Source organism: Homo sapiens, chromosome 19, assembly GCF_000001405.40.
Source record: "Homo sapiens chromosome 19, GRCh38.p14 Primary Assembly".
In the NCBI taxonomy this organism is placed as follows: Eukaryota; Metazoa; Chordata; class Mammalia; order Primates; family Hominidae; genus Homo; species Homo sapiens.
The window spans coordinates 20,078,821-20,099,862 of record NC_000019.10 but is presented as its reverse complement, the minus strand read 5'-3'; the positions used below and the strand labels follow the sequence as shown (position 1 = coordinate 20,099,862).

General features: G+C 44.6%; 1 protein-coding gene and 2 pseudogenes across 1 annotated transcript in view, besides 4 other annotated features; 2 read left to right on the top strand and 1 right to left on the bottom strand.

The window, feature by feature from the left end:
- ZNF90 (zinc finger protein 90) overlaps positions 1-21,042 on the bottom strand; it is a 43,169-nt gene that overhangs the window by 21,306 nt on the left and 821 nt on the right. The gene's annotated exons all lie outside the window — the stretch shown is intronic.
- Positions 2,994-3,534: an enhancer, noted in NCBI's record as "OCT4-NANOG hESC enhancer chr19:20207138-20207678 (GRCh37/hg19 assembly coordinates)". NCBI's record gives its function as "activates a minimal SCP1, AML or CMV promoter by ChIP-STARR-seq in naive H9 embryonic stem cells {active_cell/tissue: H9 hESC(naive)}" and the evidence as "EXISTENCE:reporter gene assay evidence [ECO:0000049][PMID:30033119]".
- Positions 11,468-12,065: an enhancer, noted in NCBI's record as "OCT4-NANOG-H3K27ac-H3K4me1 hESC enhancer chr19:20198607-20199204 (GRCh37/hg19 assembly coordinates)". NCBI's record gives its function as "activates a minimal SCP1, AML or CMV promoter by ChIP-STARR-seq in naive and primed H9 embryonic stem cells {active_cell/tissue: H9 hESC(naive and primed)}" and the evidence as "EXISTENCE:reporter gene assay evidence [ECO:0000049][PMID:30033119]".
- Positions 12,066-12,665: an enhancer, noted in NCBI's record as "OCT4-NANOG-H3K27ac-H3K4me1 hESC enhancer chr19:20198007-20198606 (GRCh37/hg19 assembly coordinates)". NCBI's record gives its function as "activates a minimal SCP1, AML or CMV promoter by ChIP-STARR-seq in primed H9 embryonic stem cells {active_cell/tissue: H9 hESC(primed)}" and the evidence as "EXISTENCE:reporter gene assay evidence [ECO:0000049][PMID:30033119]".
- Positions 12,287-12,847, top strand: BNIP3P14 (BCL2 interacting protein 3 pseudogene 14; annotated as a pseudogene).
- Positions 16,972-17,827: an enhancer, noted in NCBI's record as "OCT4-NANOG-H3K27ac-H3K4me1 hESC enhancer chr19:20192845-20193700 (GRCh37/hg19 assembly coordinates)". NCBI's record gives its function as "activates a minimal SCP1, AML or CMV promoter by ChIP-STARR-seq in naive H9 embryonic stem cells {active_cell/tissue: H9 hESC(naive)}" and the evidence as "EXISTENCE:reporter gene assay evidence [ECO:0000049][PMID:30033119]".
- Positions 19,301-19,693, top strand: RPS8P11 (ribosomal protein S8 pseudogene 11; annotated as a pseudogene).

Sequence of the window (21,042 nt, the reverse complement as noted above, 5' to 3'; positions counted from 1 at the left end):
CTTCTCTCTATATTGCTGCATGGGCATGGAGGACTAAGTAAGCATACTTAGAGTCTGTATATATATTTACCCTTTTTCCTTCTCCTAATTCTAGTGTACAATGGCCCCTGCTTTTGCTAGGATGTCTCTCCCTAACAAAGGATTTGGGCTTTCAGGCATAATTAGAAAAGCATGTGAAGACAGCAAAGTTCTCCAGTCACAACTTAGTGGCTGGGAGAAGTATCTAGTGACTGCCTGTCGTGGGACGCCTCAGATAGTGACAGATCTGGAGGACAGTTGTCCAAGACAAAAGAGTAAGGCTAAGAAGGCCACACCAGTGTCCAGCAGGTTTCCTAACAGGGGATTTAAATCTTCATTACCATACAAAAGTCTGAGCTGACCTAGGAGGAACTCCCTTCAGGACAGGATGATAGACCGTTCCTCCCATGTGATTGAGGGAAAAAACCACAATGGGTATTCAGTAATTGATAGGGAGACTCTTCTGGAAGCAGAGTTAGGAGAATTGCCTCATAATTGGTCTGCTCAAACGTGTGCAGTGGCAGGCATCTGTAATCCCAGCTACTCAGGATGCTGAAGGAAGAGAATCGCTTGAACCCTGGTGGCAGAGGTTTCAGTGAGCTGAAATCATGCCACTGAATTCCAGTCTGGGTGACACAGTGAGACACCATCTCAAAAAAAAAAAGCATAATAATATTTCTTCTGTTCATAAATAGCCCTTCGGGTGTAGACATCAGAAGTCACAACAACATAAAGAAAGTGGCCTAAATAAAGCCCAGTATTTTGGACACGTGTATTTGTTGTACCAACCATATGTTGCATAATTCAATTATTTATCCAGTTGCTAGTCTAGACTAAAAGTTTCTGGATTGTTGGAACCATGACTGCTTCATGTATTTTTTTTAATGGCCATATGAAATGGAAGCAACTAGCTTATCTATTTGGGTCTCCAGATCTCCGTGTTTATCATCCAAGTACCAGGAAACTGGAGAAACTCTCATCTGGGTACCAAAGACACCTCTTGTATGACAGGAGGAACAAACACAGGATGACTCGTTTCTCTTACACTGAGACAGAAGAAAAAACCATTCTTGTCAGCCTGACACAATTCTGCTCTGACATCCTCCAATGCCTCAAAGACATCTAGATGATTGTGACAGAATTCTCAGTGACCCTGGGCTCATGGCCCAATGATAAGCCAGGCTGGAGGAACTGAGGCTGATTCTGAATAGAAAATGGAACTGCCTTGGTGGAGCTCCAGAACCTGGATCTCCTGTCCTGATTTGCTAGCTCTTGGATAAGAGAAAGAACAAAAATACTCTACTCCAGTATCACATTTTACAGGTAAATATAGTTGTGGTCATGGCTCTGGATATTTTGTGGCCTTGATCTCTCACTCCTAAGATGCTTATTTACATTTACAGATTCTGCCATCAGATGCTAGTTCCTCCTGGAGCCTCTCACATCACTGTAGCAGGTCAATGAACAAGATGTGAAAATCTCAAAATGCCACACTCCCAAATGGGGGCTGTAAGCTGTCTTTGCTGACATCTCACAATACAGAAAATGCCTTTTGTTAGTTTTCTGTACATTCTTTATCCAAACTCCCACCCTTTTTTGTAAATTCCTGGCAGAGGACAGACCTTATCTACAGATTCTAGGTAGGATCCACCTGGCTTTGCATCCTTTGGTGAAGAGATCCCCTAATAGAGGCTGTTCTAGCACATTCTAAATGATAAGTCTACATGAAAAAAACAAAAAGCTGACACAACGTGAATATAAGTAGACAGCTTATTTGGGTCAAGTTTATGGATTATAACCTGGGAGCAAATATTCAAGTTGCCTGAAATCTACACTTTGATTAGCAGCAGTTACAAGAAGATTTGTAAAGACAATAAGAGAAACACAGAGTGGGCTGACACAAAGTTGTTTATCAGAAATTTATATTTGTTTACAGAAATAACATTGATTATTGATTAGATATATATTGTTATGGTTTAGGGTATGGGATATAGTGTCCAATGTGGCATTAGTTTAATTTATAACTACTTGTGGCAATTGTGAACAGTTTCAACAGATACATACATTTGAATACATAGTTCAAAGGGAGAAAAAGTACTTGCACTTTTCAGATAAAGTTTTTTATTTCCCAAATCTCAAGACCTGGATTCAAAATATGGAGCTGCAGATTTAGGGCAAGAATGGATGGAGTGGCAGCATGTTTATAGCACATTTGTGAGCATTTTAGCAGAGTAGAAAGAAGAAAGTGGAGAATCTCTTATCTACATGTCTACTCAATGCACACGTTACTCTAATTGGGTTTGTGGGCCCCATGGTCTCTGAATCCGTTTCAGGTCTGAAAATACAAGAGTCAAAGAGGTAAAATAACTGATTGCTGCCCTGTGAAATTTATAGAAATCTGATCTAGCCTCTCTAGAAGTGACTGTAGATGACTATAGATTAATAAATAGGCTGAGACACAATTCTGCCTGCATCTTTAGGGGACAGCGTGCACTGTGCTGCACAAGTGTCAGTCAACTGGAAGCCTGAGAGGAAAAGTCCCCTCTAGAGTAAATTCTCATTGGCACCTTATGTGTTTATATCATGTCTGGTAATTCTAGACAGTATTTGGAAACAATAAAGAAAACATGTCTCCAGCCCCAGAGAAATGCCACAATAATAGTACAGAAAGAAAACTGTTTTATTACACAATTAAGTGTGACATGCATCATAGTCAATCTGCTTAAGTGACTGCAAAGATAGAAAGATGGTCACCATAATTAGTCCACAAGTAGAAGAATTTCCAGCACCACGTCATATATAGTTCATCCTAAATTCACCTGGAGATTGACGAGGCCATGTGTGTATGCTAATTGCTCATATTCAATGACAAATAAACATTTCCCATCTTCATAACAGGAGGTGGTTTAGCTGCTTGAAGCCAAGTGCCTGCTGAAGGTAGGGTTTCACTCTGCTACAAAAAAGGTTAAATAGGGTTCTATCATTTTGGCTACTTAGAGCAGTGGCTCTGTACACTCTGGCAGGGGGCTACAGCACTCCTGCTTGCTTTCTCCTGGTTGCTAGTGTCAGGCCTCTGAGCCCAAGCCAAGCCATCGCATCCCCTGTGACCTGCACGTATATGCCCAGATGGTCTGAAGTAACTGAAGAATCACAAAAGAAGTGAATATGCCCTGCCCCACCTTAACTGATGACATTCCACCACAGAAGTGTAAATGGCCAGTCCTTGCCTTAACTGATGACATTACCTTGTGAAAGTCCTTTTCCTGGCTCATCCTGGCTCAAAAAGCACCCCCACTGAGCACCTTGCGACCCCCACTCCTGCCCACCAGAGAACAAACCCCCTTTGACTGTAATTTTCCTTTACCTACCCAAATCCTATAAAATGGCCCCACCCTTATCTCCCTTCGCTGACTCTCTTTTCGGAATCAGCCCACCTGCACTCAGGTGATTAAAAGCTTTATTGCTCACACAAAGCCTGTTTGGTGGTCTCTTCACACGGACATGCATGAAATTTGGTGCCATGATTCGGATCAGGGGACCTCCCTTGGGAGATCAATCCCCTGTCCTCTGTTCTTTGCTCCATGAGAAAGATTCACCTATGACCTCAGGTCCTCAGACCGACCAGCCCAAGAAACATCTCACCAATTTCAAATCCGGTAAGCGGCCTCTTTTTACTCTCTTCTCCAACCTCCCTCACTATCCCTCAACCTCTTTCTCCTTCCAATCTTGGCGCCACACTTCAATCTCTCCCTTCTCTTAATTTCAATTCCTTTCATTTTCTGGTAGAGACAAAGGAGACACGTTTTATCCATGGACCCAAAACTCCGGCACCGGTCACGGACTGGGAAGGCAGCCTTCCCTTGGTGTTTAATCATTGCAGGGATGCCTCTCTGATTATACACTCACGTTTCAAGGGTGTCAGACCACACAGGGACACCTGCCTTGGTCCTTCACCCTTAGCGGCAAGTCCCGCTTTTCTGGGGAAGGGACAAGTACCCCTCAACCCCTTCTCTCCTTGTCTCTACCCCTTCTCTGCTTTTCTGGGGCAGGGGCAAGAACCCCTCAACCCCTTCTCCTTCACCCTTAGCGGCAAGTCCCACTTTTCTAGGGGGCAAGAACCCCCAATCCCTTATTTCTGTGCCCCAATCTCTTATCTCTTATCTCTGTGCCCCAATCCCTTATTTCTGCACCCCAACCTCTTATCTGTGCCCCAATCCCTTATTTCTGCAGCCCAACCTCTTATCTCTGTGCCCCAATCCCTTATTTCCATGCCCTGACCCCCCTTCCTGCTTTTCTGGAGGGTAAGAACCTCCGAACCCCTTCCCTCCGTGTCTCTATGCTCTCTTTTCTCTTGGTTTGCCTCCTTTACTATGGGCAACCTTCCACCCTCCATTCCTCCTTCTCCTTTAGCCTGTGTCCTCAAGAACTTAAAACCTCTTCAACTCACACCTGACCTAAAACCTAAATGCCTTATTTTCTTCTGCAACACTGCTTGGCCCCAATACAAATCGACAGTGGCTCTAAATGGCCAGAAAACGGCACTTTCGATTTCTTCATCCTACAAGACCTAAATAATTTTTGTCGAAAAATGGGCAAATGGTCTGAGGTGCCTTACGTCCAGGCATTTTTCACACTTCGTTCCCTCCCTAGCCTCTGTTCCCAATGCGATTCCTCCCAGATCCTCCTTCTTTCCCTCCCGCCTGTCCCCTCAGTCCCAACCCCAAGCATCGCTGAGTCTTTCCAGTCTTCCTTTTCTACAGACCCATCTGACCTTTCCCCTCCTCCCCAGGCTGCTCATTGCCAGGCCGAGCTAAGTCCCAATTCTTCCTCAGCCTCCACTCCTCCACCCTATAATCCTTCTATCACCTCCCCTCCTCACACCCGGTCCGGCTTACAGTTTAGTTCCGCGACTAGCTCTTCCCCACCTGCCCAACAATTTCCTCTTAGAGAGGTGGCTGGAGCTGAAGGCATAGTCAGGGTACATGTACCTTTTTCTCTATCAGACCTTTCTCAGATCAGTCAATGTTTAGGCTCTTTCTCATCAGACCCCACTAAATATACACAGGAATTCCAATGTCTAACTCTGTCCTACAACTTAACCTGGAGTGACTTAAATGTCATCCTGACTTCTACCCTCTCCCCAGATGAATGGGAAAGAGTTTCTTCTCTAGCCCAATCTCATGCTGATAACCGCCGGCTTCACGAGCCAGACCTCCAGGAAGGCATTAGAGCAGTTCCCCGAGAGGATCCCCAATGGAACCATCAGGCAAATTCCCCAGGTATAGCTAGGCGAGATTACATGGTTTCCTGCCTAGTTGAAGGGCTTAAAAAAGCAGCTTACAAAGCTGTTAATTATGACAAACTTAAAGAAACTACCCAAGGTGAAGATGAAAACCCAGCCCAGGTCGTGGCCCGCTTAGCAGCAACCCTTAGACGCTTTACCGCCCTAGACCCAGAGGGGCCAGAAGGCCGCCTTATTCTCAATATGCATTTTATCACCCAGTCAGCTCCTGACATTACAAAAAAACTTCAAAAATTAGAATCTGGCCCTCAAACCCCACAACAGGAATTAATCAACCTCACCTTCAAGGTGCACAATAATAGGGAGGAAGCAGCCAGACGGCAATGCATTTCTGAGTTACAGTTACTTGCCCCTACTGTGAGACAAAACCCAGCCACACCTCCTGCATAGGAGAACTTCAGAATGCCTAAGCCACAGCAGTCAAGCATTCCTACAAGACTTCCTCCATCAGGATCTTGCTTCAAGTGCCAGAAATCTGGCCACTGGGCCAAGGAATGCCCGCAGCCCGGGATTCCTCCCAAGCCATGTCCCATCTGTGCAGGGACTCACTGCAAATCAGACTGCCCAGCTCACCCGGCAGCCACTCCTAGAACCCCTAAAGCTCTAGCCCAAGGCTCTCTGACTGACTCCTTCCCAGATCTGCTTGGCTTAGCAACTGAAGATTGACATTGCCCGATCGCCTCGGAAGCCCCCTGGACCATCATGGACGCCGAGCTTTGGGTAACTCTCACAGTGGAGGGTAAGTCCATCCCCTGTTTAATCGATACGGGGGCTACCCACTCCACATTGCCTTCTTTTCAAGGGCCTGTTTTCCTTGCCCCCATAACTGTTGTGAGTATTGACGGCCAAGCTTCAAAACCCCTGAAAACTCCCCCACTCTGGTGCCAACTTGGACAACACTCTTTTATGCACTCTTTTTTAGTTATCCCCACCTGCCCAGTTCCCTTATTAGGCCAAGATATTTTAACCAAATTATCTGCTTCCCTGACTGTTCCTGGACTACAGCCACATCTCATTGCCGCCCTTCTCCCCAACCAAAAGCCTCCTTCGCATCTTCCTCTCATATCCCCCCACCTTAGCCCACAAGTATGGGACATCTCTACTCCTTCCCTGGCAACCGATCACATGCCCATTACCATCCCATTAAAACCTAATCACCCTTACCCTGCTCAACACCAATATTCCATCCCACAGCATGCTTTAAAATGATTAAAGCCTGTTATCACTCACCTGCTACAGCATGGGCTTCTAAAACCTATAAACTCTCCTTACAATTCCCCCATTTTACCTGTCCAAAAACCGGATAAGTCTTACAGATTAGTTCAGGATCTGCGTCTTATCAACCAAATTGTTTTGCCTATCCACCCTGTGGTGCCCAACCCGTACACTCTTTTGTCCTCAATACCTTCCTCCACAACTCACTATTCCATGCTTGATCTTAAAGATGCTTTTTTCACTATTCCCCTGCACCCCTCGTCCCAGCCTCTCTTTGCTTTCACCTGGACTGACCCTGACACCCATCAGTCCCAGCAGCTTACCTGGGCTGTGCTGCCGCAGGGTTTCAGGGACAGCCCTCATTACTTCAGCCAAGCTCTTTCTCATGATCTACTTTCCTTCCACCCCTCCGCTTCTCACCTTATTCAATATATTGATGACCTTCTTCTTTGTAGCCCCTCCTTTGAATCTTCTCAACAAGACACACTTCTGCTCCTTCAGTGTTTATTCTCCAAAGGATATCGGGTATCCCCCTCCAAAGCTCAAATTTCTTCTCCATCCGTTACCTACCTCGGCATAATTCTTCATAAGAACACACATGCTCTCCCTGCCGATCGTATCCGACTAATCTCTCAAACCCCAATCCCTTCTACAAAACAACAACTCCTTTCCTTCCTCGGCATGGTTGGATACTTTCACCTTTGGATACCTGGTTTTGCCAACCTAACAAAACAATTATATAAACTCACAAAAGGAAACCTAGCTGACCCCATAGATCCTAAATCCTTTCCCCACTCCTCTTTCCATTCCTTGAAGACAGCTTTAGAGACTGCCCCTATTCTAGCTCTCCCTGACTCATCCCAACCCTTTTCATTACACACAGCCGAAGTGCAGGGCTGTGCAGTCTGAATTCTTACACAAGGACCAGGATCGCATCCTGTAGCCTTTTTGTCCAAACAACTTGACCTTACTGTTTTAGGCTGGCCATCATGTCTCCGTGCAGCCGCTGCTGCTGCCCTAATACTTGTAGAGGCCCTCAAAATCACAAACTATGCTCAACTCACTCTCTACAGCTCTCATAATTTCCAAAATCTATTTTCTTCCTCACACCTGACACATATACTTTCTGCTCCCCGGCTCCTTCTGCTATACTCACTCTTTGTTGAGTCTCCCACAATTACCATTGTTCCTGGCCTGGACTTAAATGCGGCCTCCCACATTATTCCGGATACCACACCTGACCCTCATGACTGCATCTCTCTGATCCACCTGACATTCACATTTCCCCAAATTTCCTTCTTCCCTGTTTCTCACCCTGATCACACTTGGTTTATTGATGGCAGTTCCACCAGGCCTAATCACCACTCACCAGCAAAGGCAGGCTATGCTATAGTATCTTCCACATCTATCATTGAGGCTACCGCTCTGCCTCCCTCCACTACCTCTCAGCAAGCCGAACTAGTTACCTTAACTCAAGCCCTCACTCTTGCAAAAGGACTACGCATCAATATCTATACTGATTCTAAATATGCCTTTCATATTCTGCAGCACCATGCAGTCATATGGGCTGAAAGAGGTTTCCTCACTACACAAGGGTCCTCCATCATTAATGCCTCTTTAATAAAAACTCTGCTCAAGACCACTTTACTTCCAAAAGAAGCTGGGGTCATTCACTGCAAGGGGCATCAAAAGGCATCAGATCCCATTGCTCTAGGCAATGCTTATGCTGATAAAGTGGCTAGACAAGCAGCTAGCTCTCCAACTTCTGTCCCTCACAGCCAGTTTTTCTCCTTCGCTTCAGTCACTCCCACCTACTCCCCCACGGAAACTTCCACCTATCAATCTCTTCCCACACAAGGCAAATGGTTCTTAGACCAAGGAAAATATCTTCTTCCAGCCTCACAGGCCCATTCTATTCTGTCATCATTTCATAACCTCTTCCATGTAGGTTACAAGCCGCTAGACCGTCTCTTAGAACCTCTCATTTCCTTTCCATCATGGAAATCTATCCTCAAGGAGATCACTTCTCAGTGTTCCATCTGCTATTCTACTACCCCTCAGGGATTGTTCAGGCCCCCTCCCTTCCCTACACATCAAGCTCGGGGATTTGCCCCTGCCCAGGACTGGCAAATTGACTTTACTCACATGCCTCGAGTCAGAAAACTAAAATATCTTAGTCTGGGTAGACACTTTCACTGGATGGGTAGAGGCCTTCCCCACAGGGTCTGAAAGGCCACCGCGGTCATTTCTTCCCTTCTGTCAGACATAATTCCTCGGTTTGGCCTTCCCACCTCTATACAGTCTGATAACGGACCAGCCTTTACTAGCCAAATCACCCAAGCAGTTTCTCAGGCTCTTGGTATTCAGTGGAAACTTCATATCCCTTACCATCCTCAATCTTCAGGAAAGGTAGAACGGACTAATGGTCTTTTAAAGCCACACCTCACCAAGCTCAGCCTCCAACTTAAAAAAGATTGGACAGTACTTTTACCTCTTGCTCTTCTCAGAATCAGAGCCTGTCCTCGAGATGCTACAGGGTACAGTCCATTTGAACTTTTATATGGACGCACTTTCTTGCTTGGCCCCAGCCTCATCCCAGACACCAGCCCTCTAGGTGACTATCTTCCAGTCCTCCAGCAGGCTAGACAGGAAATTCACCAGGCTTCTAATCTTCTCTTACCTACTCCAGATCGCCAGCCATATGAAGACAACCTAGCTGGACGATCAGTTGTTGTTAAGAATCTGACCCCTCAAACTCTACAACCTCGATGGACGGGACCCTACTTAGTCATCTATAGTCCCCGACTGCCGTCCGCCTGCAGGATCCTCCCCACTGGGTTCACCATTCCAGAATAAAGCTGTGTCCATCGGACAGCCAGCCTAATCCCTCCTCTTCCTCCTAGAAGTCACAAGTACTCTCCCCCACTTAAGTACTCTCCCCCACTTCCCTTAAACTCACTCGTATTTCTGAAGAACAGTAATAACCCTTATGAGCCTAATACATCCCTTCATTCTATTAGGTCTGTTCGTCCTTACCCTACTTTTTGCAACAGGGCTTTACGAAGTCACCCCCACCACTTAGGCCGAGCCCCAAAAACTAGTCATCCCTACTATCTTCTGTCCGGTCATACTCCTATTCTCCATTCTCAACTACTTATAAATGCCCTACTCTTGTTTACACTGCCAGTTTACACTGTTTCTTCAAGCCATTACAGCTGATATCTCTTGGTGCTATCCCCAAACCACCACTCTTAACTCCCTCTTAGAGTGGATAGATGATCTTTGCTGGCAGGGCACCCTCCAATACTTCCAACCCTGATGAAGTTCTACTCTTTACTTTTATGCTCACTCTTATTCTCATTCCCATTCTTATGTCACCCTCTACCTCTCCCCAGCTATCTCCACCACAGTATCAACCTTACCCATTCTCTCCTAGCCGCTTCTAATCCCTCCTTGGCGAACAACTGCTGCCTTTGCATTTCCCTTTCTTCCAGTGCCTACACAGCTGTCCCCACCTTACAGACAGACTGGGCAACACCCCCCGTCTCCCTACACCTCCGAACTTCCTTTAACAGCCCTCAACTTTACCCTCCTGAAGAACTCATTTACTTTCTGGACAGGTCCAGCAAGACTTCCCCAGACATTTCACATCAGCAAGCTGCCGCCCTCCTTCGCACTTATTTAAAAAACCTTTCTCCTTATATTAACTCTACTTCCCCCCTATTTGGACCTCTCACAACACAAATTACTATTCCAGTGGCCACTCCTTTATGTATCTCTCCGCAAAGACCCACTGGAATTCCCCTAGGTAATCTTTTACCTTCTCGATGTTCCTTTACTCTTCATCTCCGAAGCCCAACTACACACATCACTGAAACAACTGGAGCCTTCCAGCTGCATATTACAGACAAGCCCTCTATCAATACAGGCAAACTTAAAAAAATTCGCAGCAATTATTGCTTAGGAAGACACTTGCCCTGTATTTCACTCCATCCTTGGCTACCTTCCCCTTGCTCGTCAGACTCTCCTCCCAGGCCCTCTTCTCGTTTACTTATACCCAGCCCCGAAAATAACAGTGAAAGGTTGCTCATAGATACTCAATGTTTTCTCATACACCATGAAAATCAAAACTCCCCCTCTATGCAGTTACCCCATCAGTCCCCATTACAACCTCTGACAGCTGCCGCCCTAGCTGGATCCCTAGGAGTCTGGGTACAAGACACCCCTTTCAGCACTCCTTCTCATCTTTTTACTTTACATCTCCAGTTTTGCCTCACACAAGGTCTCTTCTTCCTCTGTGGATCCTCTACCTACATGTGTCTACCTGCTAATTGGACAGGCACATGTACACTAGTCTTCCTTACCCCCAAAATTCAATTTGCAAATAGGACCGAAGAGCTCCCTGTTCCCCTCATGACACCAACATGACAAAAAAGAGTTCTTCCACTAATTCCCTTGATGGTCCGTTTAGGACTTTCTGCCTCCACTATTGCTCTTGGTACTGGAATAGCAGGCATTTCAACCTCTGTCACGACCTTCTGTAGCCTGTGTAATGACTTCTCTGCTAGCATCACAGACATATCACAAACTTTATCAGTCCTCCAGGCCCAAGTTGACTCTTTAGCTGCAGTTGTCCTCCAAAACTGCCGAGGCCTTGACTTACTCACTGCTGAAAAAGGAGGACCCTGCATATTCTTAAATGAAGAGTGTTGTTTTTACCTAAATCAATCTGGCCTGGTGTATGACAACATAAAAAAACTCAAGGATAGAGCCCAAAAACTTGCCAACCAAGCAAGTAATTACGCTGAACCCCCTTGGGCACTCTCTAATTGGATGTCTTGGGTCCTCCCAATTCTTAGTCCTTTAATACCCATTTTTCTCCTTCCTTTATTTGAACCTTGTATCTTCTGTTTAGTTTCTCAATTGATCCAAAACCGTATCCAGGCCATCACCAATCTTTCTATACGACAAATGTTTCTTCTAACATCCCCACAATATCACCCCTTACCACAAGACCTCCCTTCAGCTTAATCTCTCCCACTCTAGGTTCCCACGCCCCCCCAATCCCGCTTGAAGCAGCCCTGAGAAACATCGCCCATTCTCTCTCCATACCACCCCCCAAAAATTTTTGCCGCCCCAACACTTCAACACTATTTTGTTTTATTTTTCTTATTAATATAAGAAGGCAGGAATGTCAGGCCTCTGAGCCCAAGCCAAGCCATCGCATCCCCTGTGACCTGCACGTATATGCCCAGATGGTCTGAAGTAACTGAAGAATCACAAAAGAAGTGAATATGCCCTGCCCCACCTTAACTGATGACATTCCACCACAAAGGAAGTGTAAATGGCCGGTCCTTGCCTTAACTGTTGACATCACTTTGTGAAAGTCCTTTTCCTGGCTCATCCTGGCTCAAAAAGCACCCCCACTGAGCACCTTGCGACCCCCATTCCTGTCCACCAGAGAACAAACCCCCTTTGACTTTAATTTTCCTTTACCTACCGAAATCCTATAAAATGGCCCCACACTTATCTCCCTTTGCTGACTCTCTTTTCGGACTCAGCCCAACTGCACCCAGGTGATCAAAAGCTTTATTGCTCACACAAAGCCTGTTTGGTGGTCTCTTCACATAGACACGCACGAAAGCTAGTGTCCTCTATTTACCTCTACCATCTGCCACTGAGGCACAGCCCAGAGCACAGCTCACCTTTTGTGTGAACCCAATTTGCCACAGCAGCACTCCAGTGTCACATCAGAGAGTGAAGCCTGAGCTGCAGGAGGAGAGCCTGCAGGCCTCCTGGGTAAAATTTCACCTTCACAGTAATGGAAATGGGAGCAGTGTTTCAACTCCTTTCTACTTATAATGGTGACAAGGAAAAAATACTGCTGAATTTCCAGCATGAGTCCAGATAGAGATAGCTCCAAAAGCTCTCACTGTGACAGCCCAGCTTATTCAGAAACCATGTGATACAAATAGATCTTCTGAAACAGACACCCAAAGCATTGGAGAGAAAAACATTATCTCCATCTGAGCAAGATTATTTTGAGAAAAAAGTTAAAATAATCTAAGAAAAAGCTCAGATTAGATATAAGATTGATCATGTCAGTCAGAAAATATTCCCCTAAAAGAAATCTCTCTCTAAACACCCAAAGTGCAAGCTACTCTCAGCATGAGAAATGAGCATTATGAAGGAGGCAGATCTTAAGAATAATTTTATAAAGTTTCTTTTCCATCTCTGCTGTTCCCTCATCTCCTAGCCATTGAATGGAGGTTCTATATTGAAATACATCTGACAACTTCAAGCAACACTTTTTGATGAAGAAATAGAATCTGACTGTGTTCATATAGTGGAACATATTAGAGCTTGCAACATAGCAAACTGAAGAACCATTATAGTTTTTGGGTGGCCACATCACCTGTCTTTATTTGTCCTGTAATAGCAGCATACCAATTTAGTGAAATAAAAGATATTAAAATTGTGTTTACTCATAATAATCCCTATTGAATAAAGTAATAAACATGTCACACTAATATCTACTTAATGTAACAATTTGGTATAAATTTTATTTGGATATTAGACTTAAGTAAGTATAAATCATTTTAATGAACTAGTCATAATGTATATAGTATGTATATAGTATGTGTATAGTTTAAAATTATAGTTTTAAAAATTAAAACTATACTTCAGTTAAAACATTTTATATTTCAGAAGTGTAAATAATGATATTAAAATAACCATTTAAGTGATTAATTCAAAGTAAGTAGTGCAGCTTTGTACTCATACTATTGTAGAAAATACTGTTTATGGCTCACCCCTGTAATCCCAGCACTTTAGGAGGCTGAGGCGGGTGGATCACCTGAGGTCAAGGATTCAAGATTAAGCTGGTGAACATGATAACACACCATCCCTACTATAAATACAATAATTTAGACAGGCATGGTTGGGCACACCTGTAATCCCAGCTATTCTGGAGGCTGAGGCAGGAGAATCACTTCAACCCGGGAGGCAGCGGTTGCAGTGAGCTGAAATTACGCCACTGAACTCCAGCCTGGGCAAGAGTGAGACTCTGTCTCAAAAAAAAAAAAAAAAAAAAAAGAAAAGAAAATACTGTTTAATTTATATGAATGCAGGTAGTCTGCAAACATTACACATAACTATACTAATTGTTATGAAGTAATAGAAAGCAAGGTACAACTACAGACTGCACTGTTCAGTTTATGCACTGAACTGTTCTTGCTTTTGCAGTACAAGTGCTTCAGCCTGCAAATATTGGATAATTACCTTGGATCATCAGGTTTCTGACAAAGAAATTTAGTATCTTTTAGTCTTTATCATTCTGTATTGCTAAATTTAATTCTCTTTGTGCTAAGCTTCTGTATGCTATTAAAATGAGCTTTTATCTAAACAAATCTGTCTAAAGGACTAAAAATGAAAAAAATAAACATTTTGGAAGCAAAAACAAAGTAATAAATCTGAAGTACTAGATAAAGATAATCTGGAGTCAGAAAAAATGACAAAAGGTTTATTTAGCTGTTAATATGATTTACATATATTTCAATAAAACAAAGAAAAATATCTACATATAATCTAAATTCCTTACAAAAAGAGGGAATAGCAAAAACATTTTTGGAAGTTTTCAAAGAGTTTTGAACTCTTGGACATCTGAAATTTGTACAATGTATGCACTTGAAAGAAGGTTTATGAGGGAAAAACCAAAAGAGAGAAAGATATTATATGAAACTTATTAATGCATAAGACCAATGCAACTGGCCGGGCGCGGTGGCTCAAGCCTGTAATCCCAGCACTTTGGGAGGCCGAGGCGGGCAGATCACGAGGTCAGGAGATCGAGACCATCCTGGCTAGCCCGGTGAAACCCCATCTCTACTAAAAATACAAAAAAATTAGCCGGGCGCGGTGGCAGGCACCTGTAGTCCCAGCTATTCGGGAGGCTGAGGCAGGAGAATGGCATGAACCCGGGAGGCGGAGCTTGCAGTGAGCCGAGATCGGGCCACTGCACTCCAGTCTCGGCCAAAGAGCGAGACTCCGTCTAAAAAAAAAAGACCAATGCAACAGAACAGAGAGGCCAGAAATAATGCCACCCTCCTACCGCCATCAGATTTCTGACAAAGCTGTCAAGAGGAATGTGGGAAGAATTGTTTCATAAATGGTGCTGGAATAAATACCTAACACTATGTAGAAGACAGAAACTGGACCCTTTCATTTCATTTTGATTTACAAAAATCAACTGAAGATAAATTAAAAAATTAAATGAAAAACTTAAAATTATAAGAAACCCAGCCATGATAACCTAGGAAATACCATTCTAGACATAAAAACTGGGAAAGACTTCATGAGGAAGCTACCAAAAGCTACTGCAACAAAAGCAAAAATTGACCAATGGGACCCATTTGAACTTAAGAGCTTCCTAACAGAAAGGAAACTATCAACAGAGTAAACAGACAACCTACAAGCTTACAAGAAAAAACCGAACAACCTCATTAAAAATTAGGCAAAATATATGAACAGATGCTTTTCAAAAGAAGACATATATGAAGCTAACTAGCATATGAAAAAAAGTGGTCATCGCTAATCATTAGAGAAATTAAAAGAAAAATCACAATGAGACACCACCACACACCAGTCAGAATGGCTATTTTTAAAAAGTCAAAAAATAACAGATGCTGGCAAGGTTGCAGAGAAAAGGGAATGCTTATACTCTTCTGGTGGGAGTGTAAATTAGTTCAAAAACTGTAAAAAGCAGTGTGGCGATTCCTCACAGAACTAAAAACAGAATCCTCATTTGACCCAGGAGCCCCACAACTGGGTATATAGCCAAAGAAATATAAATTATTATATCATAAAGACATACCCACATGCATGTTCATTGCAGCACTATTCACAATAGCAAAGACATGGACAGGCTGTAAATGCCTATCAATGGTAGACTGGATAAAGAAAATATGGTATGGTCAGCCTGGCGCAGTGGCTCATGCCTGTAATCCCAGCACTTTGGGAGGCTGACCCGGGCGGATCACCAGAGGTCAGGAGTTCGAGACCAGCCTGACCAATATGGTGAAACCCCGTCTCTACTAAAAATACAAAAAAAATTTGCCATGCGTGGTGGCCAGCACCTGTAGTCCCAGCTACACAGAAGGCTGAGGCAGGAGAATTGCTTGAACCTGGGAGGTGGAGTTTGCAGTGAGCCAAGATCGCACCACTGCACTCCAGCCTGGGAGACTCCGTCTCAAAAAAAAAAAAAGAAAATATGGTATGGTCAAATGTGGTGGCTCATGCCCGTCCTCCCAGCATTTTGGGAGGCCAAGGCAGTTGGATTGCCTGAGTTTAGAAGTTTGGGACCAGCCTAAGCAACATGGCAAAATCCTGTCTCCACAAAAAATACAAAAAGAAAAATTGGCCAGGGGTGGTAACGCAAATGTGTAGTCCCAGCTACTTGTGAGGATGAGGTAGGAGAGAATTGCTTGAGCCTGAAAGGTTCAGGCTAATGTATGTCAGTATCATGCCACAGCACTCTAGCCTGAACAATAAGTAAGACCCTGTCTCCAAAAATAAAAGATTTAGTAAAAACAAAATATGATACATAAACATCATGAATACTCTGTGGCCATTAAAAGAAATGATTATGTCCTTTGCAATAACATCGATGATGCTGGAGATCATTATTCTTAGAAAACTAATGCAGAGCCTGGGCGTGGTGGCTCAGGCCTGTAATCCCAGCACTTTGGGAGGCTGAAGTGGGATAATCACCTGAGGTCGGGAGCTTAAGACCATCCTGACCAACATGGAGAAACCCTGTTGCTACTAAAAACACAAAATTAGCCAAACGTGGTGGTGCACGCCTATAATACTAGCTACTTGGGAGGCTGAGGCAGGAGAATCGCTAGAACCCAGGAGTCAAAGGTTGCAATGAGCCGAGATCGCAACATTACACTGCAGCCTGGGCAACAAGAGCAAAACTTCATCTCAAAAAACAAAACAAAAAACAAAAAAAAAAGAAAACTAATGCTAAAGGGGTGGCCTGCCCCTCCACACCTGTGAGTATTTCTCATCGGGTGGGACTAGAGACTGAGAAAAGAAAGAGACACAGAGACAAAGTATAGAGAAAGAAAAGTGGGCCCAGGGGACAAGAGCTCAGCAGATGGAGGACCGGCACCGGCACCAGTCTCTGAGTTCCCTAGTTATTTACTGATCATTATCACTACCATCTCAGAGAGGGAGATGTGGCAGGACAATAGGGTAATAGCGGGGGAAGGGTCAGCAGGAAAACGTGAAGAAATGTCTCAGTGTCAGAAACAAGGTTAGAAAATGTGCTGTGTTTTGATGTGCACATACATAAACATATCTGGTGCATTAAAGAGCAGTATTGCCACCAGCACGTCTCACCTCCAGCGTTAAGGGGGTTTTCTCCTATCTCAGTAGATGGAATATACAATCAGGTTTTACACTGAGACATTCCATTGCCCAGGGAGGAGCAGGAGACAGATGCCTTCCTCTTATCTCAACTGCAAAGAGGACTTTCTCTTTTACTAATCCTCCTCAGCACAGACCCTTTATGGGTGTCGGGCTGGGGGATGGTCAGGTCTTTCCCTTGCCATGAGGTCATATTTCAGACTATCACATGGGGAAAAACCTTGCACAATACCTGGCTTTCCTAGGCAGAGGTCCCTGCGGCCTTCCACAGTGTTTTGTGTCCCTGGGCACTTGAGATTAGGGAGTGGTGATGACTTTTAACAAGCATGCTGCCTTCAAGCATTTGTTTAACAAAGCACATCCTGCATAGCCCTAAATCCATTAAACCTTGAGTGGACACAGCACATGTTCCTGCAAGCACAGGGTAGCGGGTAGGGTTACAGATTAACAGTATCTCAAGGCAGAAGAATTTTTCTTAGTACAGAACAAAATGGAGTCTCTTATGTCTACTTCTTTCTACATAGACACAGTAACAGTCTGATCTCTCTTTTCCCCACAAATGCAGAAACAGAAAACCAAATGCATGTTATTATTTATAAGTAAGAGCTAAATAATAAGAACACATGAACACAACAGGAGAATAACAGACACTGAGACCTAGTAGAGGGTGGAGAGTGGGAGGACCATGAGGATCAGAAAACAGACATGTTTGGTGCTATACGTAGTATCTCAGTGATAAAATCTGCACACCAAACCCCCATGACATAATTTTAGCTGTATAACAAACCCATATGTGTACCCTAAACCAAAAATAAAAGCTACAAGAAAAAAAAACAGGCCAGGCGCGGTGGCTCACGCCTGTAATCCCAGCACTTTAGGAGGCCGAGGCGGGTGGATCACGAGGTCAGGAGATCGAGACCCTCCTGGCTAACATGGTGAAACCCCGTCTCTACTAAAAATACAAAAAATTAGCCGGGGGTAGTGGCACGTGCCTGTAGTCCCAGCTGCTCAGCAGGCTGAGGCAGGAGAATAGTGTGAACCTGGGAGGCAGACCTTGCAGTGAGCCGAGATCTCGCCACTGCACTCCAGCCTGGATGACAGAGCGAGACGCCATCTCAAAAAAAAAAAAAGAAGAAAGAAAGAAAGAAAAAAAACAAATCCCTGTGTGGGAAAGACTGCAATGTAGATGAACAGACTGATTTTCGCTACAGATAGTGGCCCAGGTGGGGCCACACTCTGATTTATTTCTGTATGCATGCAGGCAGATGAGATTATAAAGAGGAGGTCCAGACCTTTAGGTTGATGGAGAAAATAGGTTGCTGCTGCAGATTCAGTGTCTGGGGGTGGGGATATGCCAGGAGACTTGTAGACACTTGTGGGTTCTTGGCAAGAAACACTAGGATCAAAAATGCTGGCTGGGTGCGATGGCTTATGCCTGTAATCCCGGCACTTTGGGAGGGCAAGGTGGGTGGATCATGAGGTCAGGATTTTGAGACCAGCGTGGCCAACATGGTGAAACCAAGTCTCTACTAAAAATACAAAAATTAGCTGGGTGTGGTGGCACTCACTTGTAATCCCAGCCACTTGGGAGGCTGAGGCAGAAGAATCGTTGGAACCTGGGAGGCAGAGGTTGAAGTGAGCCGAGATGGCACCACTGCACTCCAGCCTGGGCAAAAGAGCAAGACTCTGTCTCAGAAAAAGAAAAAAAAATGGCATAATGAAGTTCCTGAAGGTGGTGCCTAGTCCTGGGAGGAGTATGGGCACGTCTATGTCTAGTGTGTGTGTTTGTGAGTAGGTGGGAATCCTATTGTGGCACTTGCAAGAAAAGGGGGGTGTCTGTCATCAGAGCTCTTTTCCTCTAAGTTTTCAGTCCTCTGTCACCCTGGGAGAAGATCTGGAATCACAGGACAATGGGCAGTGTGACAGCCTGTGTACAGGAGAGCCTCCTATTCCCAAACACCCAGAGTTTTATTCCAGGCCAGGCCTCCGTGATATCTTTTGCTGGCACCAAATCTGCAGAGTTTGCTGAACGTCAAACAACTCTCCAACAACAACTCATTATCTAACATTTGAAATCTGACACCACCCAGAGTCAGCACAGACCCCGTTTCAGTGCTCAGTCCCACAACATTGTCCTCACTGCAGATGCCAGTCACAAACCCCATGGCCCATCTATGCTTCTCACCTATTGTTTGAAAATTGGGGACACCCAAATAATTTGCTAGAGCTATTCACAGAACTCAGGAAAACACTGTAGTGATGTTTACCGGTTTAATGTATAAGATGTGGCCCAGGAAAAGCCAAATGGAAGAAATGCATAGATCAAAGAAAAGAGAACTCTTTCCAGCCAGCGCTGAGAGATGGGCATCTCTTGGGACAACTGGCACAAACGCTGCAAGTCCAGGGGCAAGAGAAAGCCCTACCACAAGAAGCAGAAGGATGAGTTGTGGCGCCCGGCTGCCAACACCAAGATTGGCCCCCGCCGCATCCACACAGTCCGTTTGTGGGGAGGTAAGAAGAAATACGGTGCCCTGAGGCTGGACGGGGGAATTTCTCCTGTGGCTCAGAGTGTTGTACTGGTAAAACAAGGATCGTCCATGTTGTCTACAATACATCTAATAACGAGCTAGTCCGTACCAAGACCCTGGTGAAGAATTGCATCGTGCTCATCAACAGCACACCGTCAGGACGGTGGTACTAGTCCCATTATGTGCTGCCCCTGGGCAGCAATTCTTGCTGACCTGCAATTCTTGCAGCCTCAACATGGAGAAACTCTGTCTCTACTAAAAATACAAAATTAGCCAGGTGTGGTGGTGCATGCCTGTAATCCCAGCTACTCGGGAGGCTGAGGCAGGAGAATCGCTTGAACCCAGGAGGCGGAGGTTGCAGTGAGCCGAGATTGTGCCATTGCACTCCAGCCTGGGCAATAAGAGAGAAACTTCATCTCAAAAAAAAAAAAAAAGAGGAAATACGATGAAAGGAAAAAGAATGCCAAAATCAGCAGTCTCCCGAAGGAGCAGTTCCAGCAGGGCAGCTTCTTGCTTACATCGCTTCAGGGCCGGGACAGGGTGGCCGAGCAGATGAGATTACAGGCGTGAGCCACCGCGCCTGGCCTAAAACAAAATATTTCTCAATGAAACTTTTCTTAAGCTTATATGCCTCCCTCAAGCTCCTGAACTTTGAGCTACCCTCAGTCTGAGTCAACATACAACCACATTTTACATCCCTCCTAAGAACATGCTGATTTCAGAGTAAGACATTCTCTGATATAAAATCTGACTTTTGCACCCTCCATTTGCCATTCCCCTCCCACCTCCTTTCTAAACTTCTTTGCTCCTCCCTAGGGAAGAAAGCACTTTTCTGCCTACGTTTTTGCAAGCCATAAAGACGTTATACTTTGTTGGTACTTCCTCCTGTTGCAATATGTTTTTGGAATTCATTTTTTTCCATAAATCTAACGTTTTTATTTTACAAAGTCAAACAAGTGCCTCAAAACAATAACATCATTATCAGTAAGACCCATCCAGTTTCCTTTCATCTTAATCTTAACTGCATCTGCCTGGACAAACTCCATCTCAAAAAAAAAAAAAAAACCCTCCTTTTGCAGGCTTAATATTAGCCTTAGCTCGGAATCACTAGGTTCAAGCTTTAATTTCCATGCCAGAGTTATTCACTGGGTTTTTGAAACTAAGTGTTGGAAAATACAGTGAAGTTACTAAAACACAGTGTTTACATAAAGGATGGAAATTTTAAGATGCTTACTTTTTTTTTTTTTTTTTTTTTTGAGGACTCTCCCTCTGTCGCGCATGCTGGAGCGCGATGGAGGGATCTCAGCTCACTGCAACCTCTGCCTCCCGAGTTCAAGCAATTCTCGGGCCTCAGCCTCCCAAGTTGCTGGGATTACAGGCGCTTGGCACCACTCCAGGCTAATTTTTGTATTTTTAGTAGAGAGAGGTTTCACCACGTTGGATAGGCTGGTCTAGAAATTTGACCACGTGATCCGCCCGCCTCGGCGCCCCAAAGTGCTGAAATTACAGGCAGGAGCCACCGCGCCTGGCCGGGAAGGGGTTATTAGCCCT